The 22,836-nt window shown below is 42.2% G+C and overlaps 1 protein-coding gene across 21 annotated transcripts in view; it reads right to left on the bottom strand.

Annotated features, from left to right (window-relative positions):
- Positions 1–22,836, bottom strand: part of ARHGEF3 (Rho guanine nucleotide exchange factor 3) — a 351,849-nt gene that overhangs the window by 12,344 nt on the left and 316,669 nt on the right. For all 21 annotated transcript variants that reach the window (NM_001377411.1, NM_001377410.1, XM_017006503.2 and 18 more), the window contains 5 exons: positions 15,218–15,388; positions 13,741–13,803; positions 11,537–11,633; positions 11,293–11,369; positions 5,442–5,699 (listed from right to left, as the gene is read on the bottom strand). In NM_001377411.1, the coding sequence (NP_001364340.1) occupies positions 5,442–5,699; positions 11,293–11,369; positions 11,537–11,633; positions 13,741–13,803; positions 15,218–15,388 (666 nt within the window). The remainder of the gene's footprint in view (positions 1–5,441; positions 5,700–11,292; positions 11,370–11,536; positions 11,634–13,740; positions 13,804–15,217; positions 15,389–22,836) is intronic.

Below are 22,836 nucleotides of genomic sequence, written 5' to 3' on the forward strand. Positions count from 1 at the left end.
TGTTACTCAGTTATAACTTTTGTACTTCCACACAAGTTTGACAGAAGATCTTACAGCTTTGAGCTGAAGTTTGGTGAATGTATCTTATGGAGAGATGCACAATCTGTATATTTTTGTAGCTATTAAGAGTTTCAAAGATTTTTTTTTTTTTTTGAGACGGAGTCTTGTTCTTGTCACCCAGGCTGGAGTGCAATGGCACGATCTTGGCTCACTGCAACCTCCGCCTCCTGGATTCAAGCGATTCTCCTGCCTCAGCCTCCTGAGTAGCTGGGATTACGGGCACCTGCCACCACGCCCAGCTAATTTTTGTATTTTTAGTAGAGACAGGCTTTCTCCATGTTGGCCAGGCTGGTCTCAAACTCCTGACCGCATGATCTGCCTGCCTTGGCCTCCCTAAGTGCTGGGATTACAGGCATGAGCCACCATGCCTGGCCAAAAGTTTCAGATATTTCTTTATTCTTTTCTCTATTTCTCAAATGGTGGTGGTAGCACTCACTACTTTGATTTAAAAAAAAAAACCCTTATTTTAAAAAATATAGGCTCTTTAGTGTTATAGAAGAAGCTTTTTGGCCTTTGATGTCAACCTAATATTAAATGTAAATCCTGTAAAAGTAATTTGAGTTTTATTAACATAAAACAATAAATAGCAGAACACTTTGGTATACTTTCTTAGTTTCTTTTTTCCTTTCTTGGTTTTCAAAAATGAATGATTATTCACTGTTACTTTCAAGACAAAATAATTTCACAAAATATACTAAAGCCATGACTCATCCTTCAAATTACTTTAACTGTTTATTGAGAACCTGTTCCATGTTAGACGAAGTGGTAGCATTCAAAGAAATGAGAGGATTCCTGCCTTCAAGAAGCTTAAAACAAATGGGAGGTATCTGAGCAACTGTGTTATGTCTACTTTATCCTTTTACCTTTCCATATTTTTAATATATAGTGAAATCCATGCTTTTTCCTTACTCTTAAAGACCTCAGCATTAGTGGCTGTGACTTCTCAGTTAACTGTTACCAGGTGTACCTGGACAGCCGGAATTAATCAGCGCTTGAGTCAATTTTCTGAGTTGCCTGCAAATATCCAGGAAACCAGAAAGAAGATGCGCTATAGTCATAAATATGTGTTCATTTCCTAATTTAACTCAGGAACTGAACAACTGGCATATCACATGAAGATTAATGAACTCAAATGCCATGGCAGTTCCTTATGCAGCTAAGATTAGTTTCAAATACTGCTTCTTTTGCTGGTGTTTGAAAAACAGAGACAAAACAATGGAAACAATCAGTGTTCTCATTCCATGTTCTATGTATATACATTTATAATAGTAACTCTGGGTCTGCTTTCATTTATTAAAAATAATGTTTTGTCTTTCTATCTACCTGAATATCATGAGAATCTTATCTCTCTGCTTTGGTTCTTTTTTTTTTTTTTTTTGGAGACTGAGTTTCGCTCTTGTTGCCCAGGCTAGAGTGCAATGGCGCAATCTCGGCTCACTGCAACCTCCGCCTCCCGGGTTCAAGTGATTCGCTTGCCTCAGCCTCCCGTGTAGCTGGGATTACAGGCATGCACCACCATGCCCGGCTAATTTTGTATTTTTAGTAGAGATGGGATTTTCCATGTTGGTCAGGCTGGTCTCGAACTCCTGACCTCAGGTGATCCGCCTGCCTTGGCCTCCCAAAGTGCTGGGATTACAGGCATGAGCCACTGCTCCTGGCCTCTACATTGGTTCTTTTTTTTTTTTTTTTTTTTTTTTTTTGAGATGGAGTCTTGCCCTGTCGCCCAGGCTGGAGAGCAGTGGCAATCTCGGCTCACTGCAAGCTCCGCCTCCCAGGTTCACACCATTCTCCTGCCTCAGCCTCCCAAGTAGCTGGGACTACAGGCGCCTGCCACCACGCCCAGCTAATTTTTTGTATTTTTAGTAGAGACGGGGTTTCACTGTGTTAGCCAAGATGGTCTCGATCTCCTGACCTCTTGATCTGCCCGCCTTGGCCTCCCAAGGTGCTGGGATTACAGGCGTGAGCCACCGCGCCCAGCTTTGCATTGGTTCTTGAGAGAGATTTATTTTGCAGAATTTCAGGGAGGCATAAAGTTACATACAGTAGGCTGCCAATAGCCAGTCAACAGTCACAGTAGTTGCCCATTTAAATTAAATTTATTGTTGCATCTCTCACTGGGTTCAAACTGAAGGAAGGGACTGGTAAAGGGAGATGATGAGAGATACCTGGTAACAGTACAGAGATTAAGCTCACATGTGCTGGACTCATCATCCTCAAAGTGGACTCTGAAAGCCCTGACTGTCTGGTCCCTTGTGCCATGATACTCACTGGCTCCTGCCATGAACCAAGAATAGCAGTCTTCACGGCTGTTGCATCAAAAGCAGGACTGTTTTTCCCACTGATTTCAGTGATTTTTTTTTTTTTTAGGAGTTGAGAAATAGTGGTGAGGTGGGGGGAAGGGATGCTCTGCAGGATCATTTTCTGGCCGAAAAATTCTTAGAATTTAAAACACTAAACAACCAAGTTCTCTGGAATATCTGAATATCCAAACTCCTATTTTAAGAAGTTCTCTTTTGAGAAAAATTTTTATCAACCCTCAAAGCATTATTATGAAATTCTAATAAAGATGTGGTAATTTAGGCACTGCATTAAAGGCAAGACCTCTTTTTAGATCTAATCATAGGTATGAATGCAATCAACTCTCTTGGAACGGAAGCAATTTACTTAGCGCTCTCTGATTTTTCCCTTTTCATTGATGGGAAATTTATTCATGGGATATTTGTCAAGCTATATTGGTGCTTGTTTTATGTTTTATGTTTATCAAACATTCATAATGCACCCAAGAGTACAGGGCTAAATAATTCTGTTCATGTGGGGTAATGAATGCTATGAGGATTCTGTAAAGGGAAAAAAAAAATCCTGTGCGTATACTGTGTAAGTAGGCATTTGGAAGACTTGCTTTGCAGACATTTTCAAATGCAGGTATACCATGTTTCATGCACAGATCTGCCTGAATAACTAGATGCAGAGTGAACTTTTGAAAACAGCTTCATACTTTATGCACTAGGAAAACTGGTTACTGGCACATCATTTTGAATTACACACAATCATATTCTTATCTGTTTTTAAATTCAAACTTTAGCTCACTGGGTATTTTTTAAAAAAACAGAACAGTATTCTTTCATGCTCCATATTAAAAAGAAATCTTTACAGTAACTCAGAACAGGCTCCCATGCTTCAAAAAAGTCATGACTTTGAGTAGCTCATGCTCCCTGTTGTTTTTATTCCTGCAGACCACACACTTGCTGGGATGAAATATGGAAAGGAGGCAACTCTATCGCACTCTTCCCAGTAATAAAAACAGACATGATGAAGTGAGATGGGCCTCAACCCCAGCGACTGCGTCCCCCATCTGTGCTGGACTGGGGGCCTGATCTCTGTGTTGGGCCTGCCAGATACATTGAATACCTCATGAATCAGAAGAGGGTCCTTTATTCTTCTTTTCTATCCTACTTGGAGGCACCCAGCCCAGTTCTGCACCAGTGAGGCTGGTGACCAGACAGCTCTCCACAATTACAAAGGCAACAGAAACTCAAAGTAGTGGGCAGGCTTTCTGCATCAAGGTATAGAATCATAAAGAAGTTGAAGGGCACAGGATTTGGAGTCTACACTGACAGGGTTTGAACATCAACTGCATCACTTGCTGGCTGTGGACCTGGGCAAGCTATTTAACCCCTCTAAGCCTCATCTGGAAAATGGTCCTAATAAGAACAGCTATCTCCTAGGCTGTTGTGACGGTTAAATGAGATACATAACCTATGAGGCAAATTACATAAAGTTGATTTACTAGATACTCAATGCCAGCAATTATTACCATGATTGTTGTTACTACTACTTATTATTAAACCCCTATCTGGGAGGAAATAGGCAGTTTGCTCAGCAGGTTCAAGGTTTCTGATTTTCAAATTACCTATGCATATCCTCCTTCTATTATTGTCCCAGATTAAATCAGAAAATGAGCCCTTTGAATGGTCTGCTAGCCTCTATCCCCACTGCCACCTCCTTGATCAGGTTTTCACACCTGGACAGCATCCTCCCAACTTGCATCCCTATCACCAGTCTCTTCCTCCTCAGTCCCTTGTTCTACCAAGAGTATGTGTCCAAGGTTACAGAGCTTGTAAATGATGGAGCTGGGATTTGAATCCTGAATCCCAGCTACTTAGAAACCAACCAACAAACAAAAAAAAAACTTCAATTAATTGCATGACAAAGGAAAAAATCTCTTAAATTGATATTTAAAAACCTCTATAACCAGATCTGAACCCACATCCTCTGTCTTCTCTCCTGCTGCTTTCTCAGAGGACCCCTAACCCCAGGCCAACTGATCCATGATATTCCCCAGGCACGACCTGTCCTGTCATTTCCTTATACCTTTGCTCAGGCCACCCGCTCCCCGTGGCCTGCCATCTGCCATCTCTACCATGCAGAGTACCTCAACCAGAACGGTGCTCTCTGGGTGGAATGCTCACAGTTTACAATATTCTCATGATGTGCACCCCATTTTTCCTCGTCTTCTATTGCTGCTAGGGAAAAATATATATTTCCCAGATTACCCAGCCCACACTCAATAAACCTTTTTTTTTTTTTTTTTGAGACAAGAGTCTCACTCTGTTGCCCAGGCTGGAGTTGCAGTGGCGTGATCTCAGCTCACTGCAACCTCCACCTCCCAGGCTCAAGCGATTCTTGTGCCTCACCTTCCTGAGTAGCTGGGATTATAGGCATATGCCACCTCGCCCAGCTAATTTTTTTTTTTTGTATTTTTAGTAGAGACAGGGTTTTGCTTTTTTGGCCAGGCTGGTCTTGAACTCCTGGCTTCAAGTGATCTGCCCACCTCGGCCTCCCAAAGTGCTGGGATTACAGGCATGAGCCATCGTGCCTGGCCCACACTCAACAAACATTTGCTGAGTGAGGATCCCACTAGTGAGCAGGAGGTTTGACAAGGCAAGCCACTGTAATCGGGGGCTAAATGGAGCTAGATTTTAAATGGATGTCCACTTCACAAATGAGTTTTGGGGCTAGGCTAAAAGGCAACTTACTATTTTCTAACTAAACAAAATTTAAAATATACACAAAGATCTTGTCCCTCACAGACAGCAACTGTAACACCAGATTAGAGTCACCTGTATAAAATTAAGAATTTTACTAAGGGACCTTACAGCGTGTTTCATGTAAGCACTGCATTTTACAGTTTAGGAAACTGAGGCAGAAAGATGAGAAGTGACTTGCAAAATCAAAACATGGTTGATGGCAGTGCCAGGCCTGGAACCCAAGATTCCTGAGTACTAAGTACCCAGGGACTCTTCCATTCACCCACTGACCCAATCCACCAGCCATTATGGTGGAAATAACAAGAAGAGAGAGAAGGAAACAGACAAACTTACAGCTTCTTCCAAGTGCTGCTGATCTGGATTATCATTTGGTGTGTGCCTCAAGATTTCTCGGAGAAGCAGAGGGTATTTTACCAGGCGGCTTCTTGGAATATCGAGGAAATTCCAGAGATCTAGTTTGCGGCTAAAGGGGGATTCTAAACATCGCTGTAGGAAATCCTGGACTCGGTGATCTTGCTTTTTGTGGTCCAGCAGAGCTTTGGCGGCTACTTGATTGCTGCAGTAGCTATCATAGGAGCTGAGGCAAGGGAGCTAAGAAGGAAACAGAAAGAGAAGGTTGGAATGTCAAAATAATTGAGCTCTGAGGCTACGGTGGCATCATTTATTGGGACTGAACAAACACCTAACTGGTCTCTGGGTCTGGCTGACATTCCTTTATCTGCATGGCTGGAGGAAACTAGTGGAATCTTCAACATGGCAGGCAGTGGACAATTTTCTTAGGCTCTGGCTTGCTTTCACAAAGCAATTTTTTTTTTTTTGAGACGGAGTCTCGCTCTGTCACCCAGGCTGGTGTGCAATGGCACTATCTCGGCTCACTGCAAGCTCCACCTCCCGGGTTCACGCCATTCTCCTGCCTCAGCCTCCTGAGTAGCTGGGACTACAGGCGCCCGCCACCATGCCCGGATAATTTTTTGTATTTTTAGTAGAGATGGGGTTTCAACGTGTTAGCCAGCATAGTCTCCATCTCCTGACCTCGTGATCCGCCCGCCTCGGCCTCCCAAAGTGCTGAGATTACAGGCGTGAGCCTGTACAATACTATGTAACGAACAATTTAAGCTTAAAGACTTTGGAACATTTAACCTTCACTGCCTTCATTCTAGCAAAATGCTAATTTCTCTGACACATCCCATCAGTCACACTGTGCAAATACCATGTCAGAGATTCAACGGAAAAGGCTTCTCATCCACTTTTTCTGCCTTGGTGTTCTAATCTAAGAGCTATCAGCCTCCAGAAAGTTACCAGAAGCAATCAAATGCAGCCAATGGCCTAACTGCTTTTGTTTCTTTCTCTTGTACTAGGAAGCCCTAGTCCCTTGTAACACCTGCTCTTCAGAGGGATTCAGTGCAAGACACTGGCAAAGGAGTGTCTTTCATTTCTGTATCCTCACTACTTTGCATTGGGCCTACTATATGGCAGACACTCTGTGTTCTGAATGAACAAATAAATGCATGTTTAATGGATTACAAGATTAGGTAATATTTGATGGTTTGTGAACCTTGCTTAAAAATAAAGTATGGCGGCCAGGCGCAGTGGCTCGTGCCTGTAATCCCAGCACATTGGGAAGCCGGGGCAGGCGGATCACGAGGTCAGGAGTTTAAGACCAGCCTGGCCAGCATGGTGAAACCCCATCTCTACTAAAAATACAAAAATTAGCCAGGCATGGTGGCACACACCTGTAATCCCAGCTACTCAGGAGGCTGAGGCAGGAGACTCTCTTGAACCCGGGAGGCAGAGGTTGCAGTGAGCCGAGATCATGCCACTGCTCTCCAGCCTTGGCAACAGAGTGAGACTCTGTCTCAAAAAAAAAAATAAATAAATACATAAAAATAAATAAAGTATGGCAGCATCTGAAACTTTAAATACTCTGCTGCAGCTTTTACACCTCTTATTGAAATTATTTCCTCAGTGACTGAAACCATAAAAAGGATACCAGGAAAGTAATATTTTACAAGCTTACTATTGAGCTTAACATTCCTTTGAAATGTCTACCTTCCTTACATGTTATTAAAAATCTCTACTTGTGTTAAAGAGTTGCAGACATTTTTTCCCTCAACCTTATATTTGTGTAAGTACTAGCTATTATTATTTGAAAGTAATGATAATTGGTACTTATACATGCGCGCACACACACACAGAGAGAGAGAGAGAGAGAGAGAGAGAGAGAGAACCCAAACGTGGTACTGTGGCTTGTAATTTAGACTTTCAGAGTTAATTAAAAAGGGCCTCAGGCCCTCTTCATTTAATTTCCACTTCCTCACCTTTTAAAAAGATCTGGAAATGCCCAATGTTTTCATTAGGAAGAAACAAATCAGCAGTAACCATTGGATGTAAACTAGTGAGGAACCTCGACCACACTGCTGCTCACTGTCCAATGGGCCACTGCTCCCTGTGATCCTGCTGCCCTGCTACCATGGCAACCAAATGGGGCTCTGGTCCTGTGCTCTCACCTGACAGGGTGCTCATTTCCTGGGCATGACCTGAAAGGCTATCTGGTTCAGTCACCGGCTAGGAGAGGCCCCAAGTGATCTTTAACTACACAGGGTGAATAATGTACAAGATCTGGTTCTCAAATACAGACACTCCCTTATTCAGAATGAGAGGTGAAAATGCAGTTAAAGAGACTAGGCCGGGTGCGGTGGTTCACGCCTGTAATCATATTACTTTGGGAGGCACTTGAGGTCAGGAGTTTGAGCCCAGCCTGGGCAACGTGGCAAAATCCCGTCTTTACTAAAATATATAAAAATTAGCCGGGCATAGTGGTGCATGCCTGTAATCCCAGCTTCTTGGGAGGCTGAGTCACAAGAATCGCTTGAACCCAGAAGCCAAAGGTTGCAATGAACTGAGATCACATCACTGCACTCCAGCCTTGGCGACAGAGAGAGACTGTCTCGGAAAAAAGGACAGACTCAGTAATAGGGAGAATCAGGTTCAAAGCCTAACTCACACAGCTGTCAGTGACTCTTCCAAGCCTCAGTGTCTCCACCTACAAAATGTATATACTAATGTCCCCCTCTCCCTTAATGAGGTAAAGCATACAAAATGTGTAGCATGGAGCTTGGCTTCTGATATAGAATCAGTAAGTACTAGCTATTATTACTTGTCCCAAGAAGTTCTTTGTTTTCGAGATAGGGTCTCCCTTTGTTGCTCAGGTGGAGAGCAGTGGCATGATCATGGCTTACTGCAGCCTCTTCTTCCCAGGCTCAAACAATTCTCCCTCCTCAGCCTCTCAAATAGCTAGGGCTACAGGCATGCACCACCATGCCAGCTAATATTTTTTTTGTAGAGACAGGGTTTCGCCATGTTGCCCAGGCTGGTCTCCAACTCCTGGGCTCAAGAGATCCACCCGCCTCAGGCTCCCAAAGTGCTGGGATTACAGACGTGAGCCACTGTGCTTGGGCCCTAGAATATTTTTATTGAAGAAACTGTCGTTTAGAGAACCAAAGCTACTTGCTCAGCTGGAGACAAAACGAGAGTCTGAAGCTTGTTCTTGCTTCCCCTTTACCCTCAGAGTTCTGAACTATTCACCATCTCTTTATTAAATAGACTATCAAGAATTTATAAGGGAAACTCACTTTTTAAAGAAGTTCTTTTATCCCCCTAATATTGTGAAAAAATCTATTTTTTTTTTTTTTTTTGCTTCCATGTACTCTGGCTCTTTCCTGGGAATTAAAATTTAGTGAGACAACAAATTAACATGAGAACTTTCTGCCTTGGAGAGCTTATAAAGTATTTCATCATTGAAAAAACGTTGGCATAGAGATAAGTCACTTGGGAAGTTGTTTCTTTATGCTAGGGAAGGCTTACTCAAACAGGCTGACCCATTAGGGAGCGGGGACACTGATTCTCAGTAACCGGGGTAGTTCCCTGAAAAAAAGCAACCACTCTGTTTAAGGTCTTCAAAGTAAAAGTAATTGATTCATTCTAAGGTCAAAAGGACTGGCCAGGGCTGTCCCACTTGGAAGGCTCACTTGTTTAAAAGGGTTCCCCCCCACCCCCCTTTTTTCCTTTGCGGAGAAAATAAATCAATTTTTCATGGGTCGAATGGGACTCTTCTCATCCAAAGTCCACTAAGATGTTTATTTTGTTCTGTTAAAAATACAAGAACTCAAACATATGTACCCCTAGGTTTACTGTTCCCACTCAGACGGACACATCTGCAGTTAAAAGAGGAAAAACATTTAACAGCTTGTCAGGCCTGATAAATAAGGGCCATTTCTCACGAAGTCTGGCAACAACGGGCCAGTTGTTTAATTTTAGGCTGCTCTTCAAGATCCAAGTCCTCATTTGATGTCTGAAGCATCCAGATAGCAATGGGCCAGCATGGTCACACTTCCTTTGGGTATGTACAGAAAATGACTGCAAAGCTGCTCCCAGATCAAACCAATTTTCTAATAAACGTGACAAATGTTTATTTCAGCAAAAAGTTACTAACAAGGCAAATTCCTACAATTTTGCTTCTGGCATAAACTGACAATTTGCATATGATGCTTAAGGAAACCATGTAGTCCTGTACTGCTGTCTCATCAAAAGCAGAGGAGTTATCCTACAAATTCTGGAGTGTGGCCTAACTGCTCCATTTACCCCCATATCAAAGCAGTCCACAGACTCAGGAAGTTTAAGAGACACTGAGGCACTCTCTACTCATTATACCTTCTTTGTCTCTGTCTGTCTCCGGTTGGCTGGCTCTCTTTGGAGAAATTTCTTTGTGGGCTAAAGAAGTTAAAACATCTACGATGGCTCATAATAAAATGAAAGTCAAAAATATAAGATGAATGATCTCTCTTGAAATATTAAGGCATATTTTCTAAATTATTCATCTTAGAACATTACTTGCCTTTCGGATACCTTTGGGATATTTCAGCCTTGGTGCTAAAATTGACTCCTGAACTAAAGCTATTTAAGTCATGAAACTCTCATCAAGTATCTTGATCAAGGCAGTCATTGAGAAACGTAAGTTAAAAGATCAATGTTAAAACTTTCTGCACATCTATGTGTTATCAAGGCATGTTAACTGAAAGGTTTTAGGAAGATTAAAATGCAGATGTAACGGAATAAAGAGAACTCACATAGCAACAGTAGGATTTATAACCTTCACAACACTCTCCAAACAGTGAAATAATCTCTAATATTAGCTGTTGTGGTACTTCCTGCCTATTTTTCTGGAATACTGTGAGCAACAGAGTGATGAGAGACCTAATCTTGCCTGGAATAAGTCAGCAAAGTAATCTCCTCTCATTATCTGCTTTATAACAAATGAAAAACACCTGGAACTGGGGTGGACCATTCAAGCACTCACAGAAGGAAACATAAATGTGTAGAATAGGGAGCGGTGGGGACTGAGGCAAAATAAGAGCACACGCCTTGTCTAGCGTAAGTGAAACAAACAACTTTAAGTACACAATAAAACACAAATCCAGCCCCAGGATCATAAATTTATGACTCCTAATCTAAGATCACAGCTTACTTCTTTTTATTTAATTAGGAAAAGGAATGGATTATATTAGGATGAAGGTCACCATATACCCAGCTCTCCTATAAATTACTTAGCATGGTATATATGCTAAACATTAGCAACCTTTACTTATTATCTTGTTTATAAAACTACATTTTGACCATGAGATTTTTTTTATGGCCTAAAAAGTTTTTTTTAATATGCTAAACATTAGCAACCTTTACTTATGATCTTGTTTATAAAACTGCATTTTGACCATGAGAATTTTTTTTTAATAGCATGACAAGTTTTTTTTTTTTTTTTTTGGTAGTGGATATATGTCAATAAATTTTTATTGGAGTATATTATGTTAGCGATTGGCCTGACGGAATATTAACTAGTTTTATTTTGATACGAAACTAGTAATAGTTTCATGTGTACCTTTACTTATTTTGTTCCAAAAGGCCCTGTTACTTTTAAATGCAATAAATTTGTAATAAGAAAAAAACTATTTTCATGCTTTAAAGATACAAAACTTAAATTTAATTAAAATTTTACTAGGATTTTTTTTTCTGATGTGAAACCAACATTTGTAAAAAAATAAAAATAAAAATAAAAAAAGTCTAGCTAAAATGAAACTCCCATCTATATTATTGAAATTTATCTTCAATAAAGACCAGAGAACTTTCTTACCCAGCCCACGAGGATGGGACCAACATGTTCAGTCGAGCCATCAGGCTTCCTAACATCTCGAAGCTGACTAAGGAGCTCTGGCAAAAAACAAACAGATGCTTATTTGTTAGGCATTCAAATATGAACAGGGCTGGAAGTAGGTTCTGGGTTATTCACATTGCAGGCAATTAATAATCACTCACTCATTATAAGACAACTCAGTTAAGGCTACAAGTCACGACTCATCCTGGGAACAAAATTATACCTTCATGTAGAGGAATTAGAGAGTCCAGTGTTCCAAAAATTTGATTCAACTCTTGTTCTGTCATTATGGAGAGTTTCAGCATGGGGTCATGATAGGCCTGCACAAAAACGGCAAGAGATGGAAGCACATGTTTAAAATCAGAGGAAGTACATTGTTCATGTAAGTGGCTCCTGAGAGGTCCTATCCAATAACAAAACTTCTGGCTCTCTAACAACTTCTCCCATAAAGCTGCAGAAACAGCAGAGAGGTGTGGCTGGAGGAGAGGAGAAACCAGCACTGCCTTAAGCCTTTGTGGTTGATAAACCAAAGCAGATTTTTCAAAAGCTTTTTTATTCTAGTATGTCATATATCTAGGAAAGAGCACAAATCCTAGGTATAGAACAGATTTGACTGTTAAAATGTTTTCAAAATCAAGATCCTGCCTCTTAAAAAAATCCCACTTTATTCAAAACTAGCTACTAGCAGATTCTTTTTTCAATTAGTACATATTTAAAATAAAGAAAAAGAGGAAAGAAACAGTGATTGGTATCCTTTACTACTGATTTGAACAAAGAGAGCAAAGGTGATAATCCTATCACCTCTTACTAGAGAAAATTAAACAACAAGAATACACAGTTATACCCAGGGCACTAAAATAGAACACAAAGACTTAAAAGTCTCCTACCTTCAAGGAATTTTATAAAGCTAATGGGGAAGATAAGAAAAACTAAAATATTTTCTAGTTTATATTTTAGTTTCTGATCTCATGGAAAACTAAATCTATGTTTAAAAAATATTTTTTTCTTTTTTTTTTTGTACTTTTTAGTAGAGACAGGGTTTCACCATGTTGGCCAGGATGGTCTTGATCTCTTGACCTCGTGATCTGCCCGCCTCGGCCTCCCAAAGTGCTGGGATTACAGGCGTGAGCCACAGCACCCAGCCTAATTTTTGTATTTTTTAGTAGAGACAGGGTTTCACCATGTTGGCCAGGCTGGTCTTGAACTCCTGACCTCAAGTGATCCTTCTGCCTCAGCTTCCCAAAGTGTCGGGATTATAGGTGTGAGCCACCGGACCCGGCTTATGTTTAAAAATTAAAGATTAAAAACCAGACTGATGTCACAAGACAGCAAAAAGCCATCAAATCAAAACTGCTCTAGAAGGTCAGAGAATTAAAGCTGGAGTGGCCAAGGGAAGTTTTGAAGATAAGCTGCTTGGTACAGAGAAGGAGGCAATAAATGTTATGTAAGAATAAACTGAGATTTGAGCTGGTTCCTGAAGGATGGGTGGATATGAATGGTTGAAACGAAAGAGAAAAGTTTCTAGGAAGGTAGGGCCACCATAAGCAAAAGGATGGCTGGGAAACACCTGAAGGTGCTTGAGTTTGGCAAATCTTGATGCAGGAAAGGGGAGTTAGACACCAGCATGATAACTCTCAGAGTGAAATAACTTCTTTGTCCTCTCTGATCTCCTCCTCCTCCAGCTCTGCCTAAAACTCAGTTTCTTGGCTGTGTCCAAGCAAAGCTTGGGTGGCCATCTCTCAGGAATGCTAGAGGTGGAATTTCATCTTAGCAGAAAGACTAAAAACCCTTAAAAGAAGGGATGTAGCCTTCCAACCCTGTGATTCTTCGAGGAGGCTGTGAATATCAGATGAAGGAGTCTGGATTTTAGCCTCCAAGCCATGGAGTTGGGGGGCTGTGCCACTGGAACGAAAATGTTTTTGAGGAAGGTTTGTTGTCCTCCTCCTCCCCACACAAAATGTTGATTAGAAAACAAATTCCTATATAAAAGACCCCAACTTATATGATAGTATGCAATTGCCTCATTTCACTTTATTCACTTTTGAGATTCAAATGGCTTTATTTCTAAGACTCAGTTCAAGTTTCAGACATGCACACATTCTCTCCTATGGGCAAAGAGTCCTACATATGAGACTTCTAGGACAATGAAATATACATAAGGCGAGGCCTCCATGGACACTTTCTGATTTAGGCTGAAGTATTCTTTGACATGCATTAGAGACATACAGAGGTAAACCCCTAAAGGTGCCAGGTCTGGAGAGCTATTCTGCCCTCTTGTTTTGAAACACTTTCCCCACTGCTTGGTGTGTGGTAGCAGACCAGTCTTAGTCATAAAGACAGTTCTCACGAAGCACCACTTTAGGGTTGTGAAATTACTCAAGAAAAAAAATGTGACTTGACTCAAGTGACTGCTGGATTTAAATTTACCTTTTTTGCTAATTTCAAGTCTTCTATCAAGTCTTCTTCTCCTTGGGAAAGCTCAAAGATCGCCTGCAAGGAAAGATAAACATATTCACTGAATTCTCCCTTCATTTACAAGACCATATTCAAATAGTGCTGGCTCCACCACTCAAAACCCCAAATTTACATATTTAAGTATTTTAAGTTACGTTAACCTGAAGCAAATGCATCTATGCTTAAACCTGCAATGAAAAGATATTGCAAAACTGCTGCATATTGTGCTTCTCTGTTTGTGGGAGAAAGTTTCTACACATTTCTAGTCCAAAAAGTCATCTTTCATGTTACAGAACTTTGATGCAGCTGAACAAGAGGGAACTATTTTAGGTAAAATAATTACAGTGTGAGCCATGGATTTGGTACCCTTGTTGTGAGAGGCCATCATAAGAAGTGATTCAGAGGCTCTTCTAGATAATGGATGTGGCAGTATTATTAACTGGGCCATCCCCACTTTTTCTTCTACTCGACAGAAGGCGAATCTCAGCAGAAAGTTTTATTTGTATTATCCACTGCCTTGAGGCTGAGATTGTAGGAAGAATCCAACATTTTATCACTCCAAATACAACCTGGTGAAGTTAATTCATTCTAAACCACTTCTCAGCCCCACAGGTACAACAAATAAAATTATAGGCGCTGGCTGTGTGGAAGAGTAGGTAAATGGACCGTTTCTAATTTGGCTCTATTAAGCCATCATGCTAAAGAGCTATGATGCACAGAACACTCTTTCACTTCCATCTGGGAAGTCAAACTGTCAGCAAACATTACATTATTAAAGGAGTACAAGTTTGTAACGATATTTCAGGGTCTACTGTGTTTCAGGATATAGGGAAACAGTGGTCAGGCTTTGAAAGCTCCCTCCACCTGGGGCTGCTTGGTAAACTGAGGACAAAGCAGGTGGAGGCACAACCCTGAGCTGGATACTCCAAGGATCTCATCAGATGATGCACACATGAAGTGCTCAGCACAGCCTGGCACAAGCACTTAAACAAGCTCTTCTATACAGGGTAATATTATCAGAGTCATTTAGGGCAACTGATACAGAAAACTTACCGGGAATGAAATTAACTGGATTCTATAGAAAGGAAGTTTTCCATGAAGCTGAATCAAAGCTATGTAAACTAAATATTTTAAAATAGTCTATAAGTTGCTAACAAAATATAACTAAAATGATTATTTTTGTGAACTTCAGAATCCTAAATAGACACTTGGTTTCATCTTCTTGTAAATTCATATTTTCACATCAGTTTCTTTTTAAAGTGGGGGCCACACCCTCCCAGCTGGTTTCTGGTTTCTCAGTTCCTTCCCCAAGGTCAGACACTCTTGTTTATCCTTCTGCAAACGCAATGAAGAATTGATTTGGAGACTAAGGCGCAAATTCCAGCATGGCTGACGCTGCAATGCACCTTTGTTCCAGACACACAGCCAGCTCCATGGGCCCCGAGCCTACCTCCTGACGTTTGATTTCCTTGGATGTAAGCATCTGATTGACGCACACATCGAAGGTCTCACTCCACAGCTTGCTATCTCTCCGTTTCGTGCTCGAGGGGGCGGCATTTCTGGACCAGGGTCGGGGGGCGAGGATGTCAGGGCGGCTCTCACTGCGGAAGCTAATGGAGCGCTAAACAATGAGAAAAACAAACCATCACGGGGGCAGCGGCAGGACTGGGTGGATCTTTGAGCAGTTTCCTGTCGTTGACGGAACATAAATCATATATGTGAAAGAAAAAGAGGACATTGCCACAAGGCCTTTGGGAAGTGGGGCATTGTCTTGAGCCTACGTGCTAAGGAAAATTGGACAGGGGGCTGCTTTGGAACATGTGCTGGGAGTATCTGTTCTGTGTGACCTGGATACCAAGTGGACTATAGTGCAAGCACATATCAGGCCAAACTCACGCATGAAGGCAGTTCTTGGATACGTGATGAGCTCTACTTTTTTCCAGTGGACATCTCCCCTCTTTAAAAGAACCAGAGATAACAATAGTGGATGGCCTTTATTTATTCAAACATTTGGCCAGTACTCCTACTCTCCTCCTTCTATAAATAGAATCCCACTAACTTTGGGTATCCTATTACATATAGTTTTGGTGGGCACCCCCAGACCTGACCAATAGAGTATTCCACCATCCTAGTTCAGGGATGGGCATGTGATTCCCTGAAATTTGTCACATGAGTTACGGGAGAAAGGAGGAAAGAGTATTCCTTTGGGATTGTGAGTTCAAGAGAGAACACAAGCAGGGCCTTCCAGCAGCAACTCTCCCTAGTTACACAGAAGCATCTGTCTGCTACAGGAGAGAATAAAGAGACCCAGAATGAAGGATGGAGTGACCAATGGAGGCAGGAAGGGAGCAAGCTTTACCAATACTGCTTGAGCCTCTGGATCCCACTGTGCCTGAAACCAGAAAGAACCACCCTTAGACATTTTCATTACATATAGAAAGACATTTCCCTTTCTATTATCTCAGTTGGGGTTCTGTCAACTTGAAAAGTCCTGACTAATACACATACTAAATACCATCTTTGCAGCACATGATTCCTGTCCCTGAGGTATTTTCCTATTTCCCAAAGAGGCCGCAGAAGTCCACCTGTGTGACTTAAACATGCTACCAAAATGCTTTTCATGACAAATACAAATGATCCAGAAGAAAGCTGAGTGCATCATTTTCAGTCTTCATCCTAGAAGATTTCATCACACTTATTGGAGACTTTGCCAAAGCAATGAGGTTGCTGTGCTCCAAAACCACATTGTTATTTAGGAAGTGTTCCCTGCCATGGCTCTCTGTGGCCTTCAGCAGGAAGTTTCAACTCCTCATCTTGGCACAGGAAGTCTCTTGTAATCTGACCACAGTCTCCATATTTAGGATCCCATCCTGCCACTCATCCATGAGCCTCCATTTCTCCAACCATACTAGGCTATCTGTCATTCCCTAAATATGTCATGCTTTGCCATCCCTCTGTACTCCCTTCAAACAATCTTCTCTTCCTGGAATGTGTTTCCATCACTTCATAGCTGGCTTTTTTTTTTTTTTTTTTTTTTGAGACAGAGTCTTGCTCTGTCGCCCAGGCTGGAGTACAGTGGTGCGATCTCGGCTCACTGCAAGCCCCGCCTCCTGGGTTCACGCCACTCTCTTGCTTCAGCCTCCTGAGTAGCTGGGCCTACAGGCGCCCGCCACCACGCCCGGCTAATTTTTTGTATTTTCAGTAGAGACAGGGTTTCACCATGTTAGCCAGGATGCTCTCGATTTCCTGACCTCGTGATCCGCCCGCCTCGGCCTCCCGAAGTGCTGGAATTACAGGCATGAGCCACTGTGTCCGGCCATAGCTGGCTAACTCTTAACTGCCCTCGGGATGTAACTCAAACAGCACCTCCTCTAAGAAGTCTTCACCAACATTCTCCCATCCTCCTCCCCCAGAGCAATTCAGACATACTTCTGATATAGCAATGATCATACTTGATTATAATTATTGGTCACCTGCTCTTAACTAGAAACTTCCTGAGGTCAGGAATTGAATTTGCTTATGACATATGAGCCTTCATCACAAAGGCATTCTAAGGTAGTTCCCAGTTATTTTGAGATTCAACAATAAAATTCCAGAAAGTAAAGAAAAATTTTAAAAGGAACTATTCAACATAAGGGCATTGTTAAATAAGTTGTAAGTGGCTGGGCACAGTGGCTCACGCCTGTAATCCCAGCACTTTGGGAAGCCGAGGTGGGTGGGTCACCTGAGGTCAGCAGTTTGACACCAGCCTGGCCAACATGGTGAAACCCCGTCTCTACTAAAAGTACAAAAATTAGCCGGGGCGTGGTGGCATGTGCCTGTAATCCCAGCTACTCAGGAGGCTGAGGCAGGAGAATCGCTTGAACCCAGGAGGCGGAGATTGCAGTGAGCCAAGATCGTGCCACTGCACTCCAGTCTGGGCGACAAGAGTGAGACTCCGTCTCAGAAAAAAAAAAAAGTTATAATTACCTGCTGGATGGAATATTATCTAGACAATTCAGAGATAATTTAAAATGTAAACACCCCTTCTATGTAGCCTAAAATAAAATCAGGATTAAAAATCTATATGTGAACATTTTATAGTTATGCAAAAAATGCACATGAGCAAAGATATAAAGGGAACATCACAAAATTCTATTGTTGTTTCATGTTGACATTATGAGTGATTTCTGTCCTCCTTTATATATTTTTAGCCTTTTTTTTTTGTTTTGAGATGGAGTCTTGCTCTGTCGCCCAGGCTGGTGTGCAGTGGCGCAGTCTCAGCTCACTGCAAGCTCCGCCTCCCGGGTTCACACCATTCTCCTGCCTCAGCCTCCCAAGTAGCTGGGACTACAGGCACCTGCCACCACGCCCGGCTAATTTTTTGTATTTTTAGAAAAGACGGGGTTTCACTGTGTTAGCCAGGGTGGTCTCCATCTCCTGACCTCGTGATCCGCCCGCCTCGGCCTCCCAAAGTGTCTAAAATGGCCGGGCGTGGTGGCTCACGCCTGTAATCCCAGCACTTTGGGAGGCTGAGGCGGGCGGATCACCTGAGGTCAGGAGTTCAAGACCAGCCTGAACAACATGGTGAAACCCTGTCTTTATTAAAAATACAAAAAAAATTAGCTGGACGTGATGGTAGGTGCCTGTAATCCCAGCTACTTGGGAAGCTGAGGCAGAAGAATTGCTTGAACCCGTGAAGTGGAGATTGTAGTAAGCTGAGATTGCGCCACTGTACTCCAGCCTGGGCGACAGAGCAAGACTCCCTCTAAAGGAAAAAAAAAAAAATAGAAAATGAGGCGGGGCTTGGTGGCTCATGTCTGTAATCCCAGTTCTTCGGGAAGCCAAGGCAGGCGGATGGCTTGAGCTGAGGAGTTCGAGACCACTCTGGGCAACGTAGCAAGACCTCATTTCAGTTCTAAATTAAAAAAATATATATAGATATATATGTAAGAATAAATGAAAAATGTAAAAAGAAACTTCCAAAGAGCTTCAGGGTATTACCACAACCTTCTGGAAGCAGGACGCTCACTCTGCAAGTAGCAACACAAGCCCCTTAGGCTGGCACAAGTAGTGGGGGTGCTCCTGGGCTCACTAATGAGCTCATGATGGCTGGACCAGCCCTATGCAGGTCAAGAAAGTACTTGCACCAAATACACAGTTCACTAATGGTATCTTACAAATCCTTGTGATCTCTTAAAAACAGTCCCTTGTAAACAGTAACCAGGAACTAAATGCACACAGATCGCCAGCACTCGGAATCAATTAGCCACAAGCATTAAAAGGTCAAAACAAGTGCAGTGAGTCATTAAGTAACTTGCTCAACCCAGTTTGCAGTTCTGATGGCAGCTGAGTTAAGAATTAAAGAGCAGAAAGAAAGGAAACACACACAAAAACTTCAAAATGAAAGTTTCCACTTTCACTTGAGAGAATCAACCTCCTATCCTGTTATATTTTCAGTCCTTGGCTAACTTTAAACTCCCCCTACCAGTTTGAAAATAATGTATGCTAACTTTAAATTCTCATACATTACAAAAGTATATAAAATTAAGTACAAATGCCCTCATTTCCCCAAGTCTATCTCCTAGAAGTAACAACTGTTAAGTTTGTTCTAGCTCTTTCCAAACTTTTTCCATGCATTTGTTAACATTCATAGAAAACTGAATTTTTTTTTTTTTTTTTTTTTGAGATGGAGTCTCGCTCTGTCGCCCAGGCTGGAGTGCAGTGGCACGATCTCGGCTCACTGCAAGCTCTGCCTATTGGGTTCACACCATTCTCCTGCCTCAGCCTCCCAAGTAGCTGGGACTACAGGAGCCCGCCACCAGGCCCAGCTAATTTTTTTGTATTTTTAGTAGAGATGGGGTTTCACCATGTTGGTCTCGATCTCCTGACCTCGTGATCCGCCTGCCTTGGCCTCCCGAAGTGCTGGGATTACAGGCGTGAGCCTCCGCGCCTGGCCGAGAATGTTTTCTCTTTCTACTTGACAGTATCTTGAGGTGAAATTTACATAACTCAATTACTTTTTCGTTGTTGTTTTTTTGGAGATGGGTCTTGCTCTGTTGCCCATACTGGAGTGCAGTGGTGCAACCATATCTCACTGTAACCTCAAACTCATGGGCTCAAGTGATGCTTCCACCTCAATCTCTTGAGTAGCTGAGATTATAGATGAGTGCCACCGCTAAGCAAGTGCCTGGCTAACTTTTGTATTTTTGATTTAGTAGACATGGGGTCTTGCTGTGTTGCCCAGGTTGGTCTTGAACTTCTGGTCTCAAGAGATCCTCCCGCCTCAGCCTCCCAAACTGCTGGGATTACAGGCATGAGCCACTGTGCCCAGCCTACAATTAACCATTTTTTAGTGAACAATTCAGTGCTATTTAGTATATTCACAAGGTTGTACAACTACCATCTCTATTTAGTTCCAAAACATTTCCATTACCTCAAATTCACGTATTCTTTTTAATGGCTGCAGAATTAGTATCCCTCCCATAGTCTGGACAGACCTATTGATTTAATCAATCCACAACTGATGGACATTAAAATTGTTTCCAGTGTCTGGCTATTACAAAAAGTGCCTCAGTGAACATGCTTTGTGTATTTGTGCTGATACTTCTAAAAGGCAGGAATTCCTTAAGTGGAATTCCTTGGTCTAAGAAGTATGAACATTTTAATGTTTGAGATGTACCACTAAGTTGACCTCCAAATAGGCTATTCAACTTTATATTCCTCAGATAGGTACATAATAGTACACTTTGCTCACACTCTCATCAACAAGGTATTATTATCAATCTGATAGGTTAAACAACTATACCTTAATTTCAGTTTTGTGTTTTGAAGGTAAGATTGAGCATATTTTAATTAATTTATTTAAAAATTTCCCAGAGAGTTGGAGATTGTCTTCTGCTGCGGCATGGGAAAAAAGAGAGCAGTAAGCTGTACTAGGTGAGCTCTACCACTATGAATTTCTTGCTTTGCGTTTCCCTAGTGATTGCTGGGCTCAGGGTACTATGGGGGATATCACAGAGGGTCTTTTATGCGCTTTGCCTACACGTAGCACTTCTGATATATTCTCTCTGATTCTCACAACCACCCTGCAAGTTGGGGGTTTATTCCCATTCTACTGAGGAGGAAACTGAGGTTGAGGGAGGCTAAGATTCAAAACCAGATCTGGTTCCAACAGAGCCTGAGCTCTTTCTACTTTGGGGACTGCATCTACTGTTTACATGCAAGACATGCATTTTGGGGAAGTTTCAATGAGATGGGATCCAGCTCCTGCCTTCTAGGAATATAAATCTACTTAAGGAAAGAGAGAGAATACATTTGCTCAGTTTTAGGAATAATGGCTGATATCTGACCAATCAAATTTCAAATTTACACCTTTAATTAGGCTGGATTAAAAGAAACATTTTTTCTTACTCCACTCAGAAGGGACTGGATGTTGAAAGAAGAATCCCAAGGGAGGAATAAAGAATGCCAACCATTTGTCCAGGTGAGGTTACTGACACCTGTAAGTCTAGCAATTTGACAGGCTGAGATGGGAGGATTACCTGAGGCCAGGAGTTTGAAACCAGCCTGGGCAATGTAGCAAGACCCTGTCTCTATAAAAAAGAATAATAATAAAAGAATACCAAACCAGTGAGTGGTCAGCAGCCGTCTGGCCCCGGGGAAAAGGGGCAGCAGCTGGTATGGTCTGGGGACAGCACATGGGTGATGGGCAGGTGTTCATAACAGCACTGACCACATACCATGAGCTACCCCTGAACCCATCATCAGTACCACTGGGAAAAACTACATGAGAGAACTAGAGTTGAGGGAGGAACAGGCAACTACTACTAGAAGAAAAAAACTCCAAGAGGATGCCTCTTTAGAGAGAAGAACAGCCACATCCCTATCAGCATCCCTGCCACTGTCCATCTACACACCCTCTGCCCTTCTCTTTTTTTTTTATATTCAACATGTGCTGTATTTATAGGTTTGTTTGTTTCTTTCATGTCTATTTCCTTCCAATAGAAGGTAAACTCCTTGAAGGCAGGCATATCTACCTCCTCTATTCACTGATGGATTCATCAGCAACTGATATAGTAAGACCTCAACAACTTTTGCTTAATGATTAAATGTTATGCTTGCTATGTGCTGGGCACTGTGAGGGGAGCTTTAGAGCCCTGCTTATCTGAGAGGTAAGGATTCTGTCCCCTTTACAGACAAGGAAACTTGAGGCTCAGAGAAGGTGACACTTTGCTGAAGGTCACACAGCTAATGAATGGTGCTTTATTATTTAAAACCCGGTGGTAAGGTGACTGTCAGAATGACAATCCAAGTCTGGTCTATTTCAGGCCAACCTCCCTGCCCCAATATTTAACCAATATCCTACCCTAATTGCCCTAGGATAAGATTCATAGTGTAGCGGGGTACATGTGCCCAAATAAATGAACTGTAGTTTACTTCTTGGCCTGTAGAAAGTTTCTCAACCTGGCCACCACAACATTTTGGACTAGAGATTCTTTATTGTGGGAGGCTCTCCTGTGCATTGTAGGATATTTCGCATCATCTTTGCCCTCTAACCACCAGATGCCAGCAGCACAGCCAGCCCAGTTATGACAACCAAAACACCTCCAGACATTGCCAAATGTTCCTGGGGTGAGAAACGCCAGTCCACGGTAACTAGAAGAGGCCCACCTCAAAGTGAGGGACCTGGCCTTGGGCAGGACCACATAAAAACAGAAGCACATACATAGATCTCCCTGGGTGTGGGGATGCTGGGACCGGAGTGAAAAATATTCCAGGACAAGCAAGAGTTTCCATGAGGGAATCTGGCCTAGCAAATGAGTCAAAAACTGCAATCTCATAATTGCTGGCAGCTAAAACAACAATGACCATAAAACAGAGATAATGCAGATTGAGGAAATGGTGCTCAAGTTTATGCCCAAGCTGGATATGTGGAAAAGATGCTGCAGATGCAAAACAGACTGTCTGCCGGGGGTTGGGGGACGGGGGTGGCATGTGCGCTTTACACGTGTCAGAGGAAATGTAAACCCAGCAGGTAGACATGATGGGACAGATCTGATTTGTTAATGCCGCCTGTTCAGCGGAGTC

This window comes from Homo sapiens, chromosome 3 (genome assembly GCF_000001405.40).
Source record: "Homo sapiens chromosome 3, GRCh38.p14 Primary Assembly".
Taxonomy (NCBI): Eukaryota; Metazoa; Chordata; class Mammalia; order Primates; family Hominidae; genus Homo; species Homo sapiens.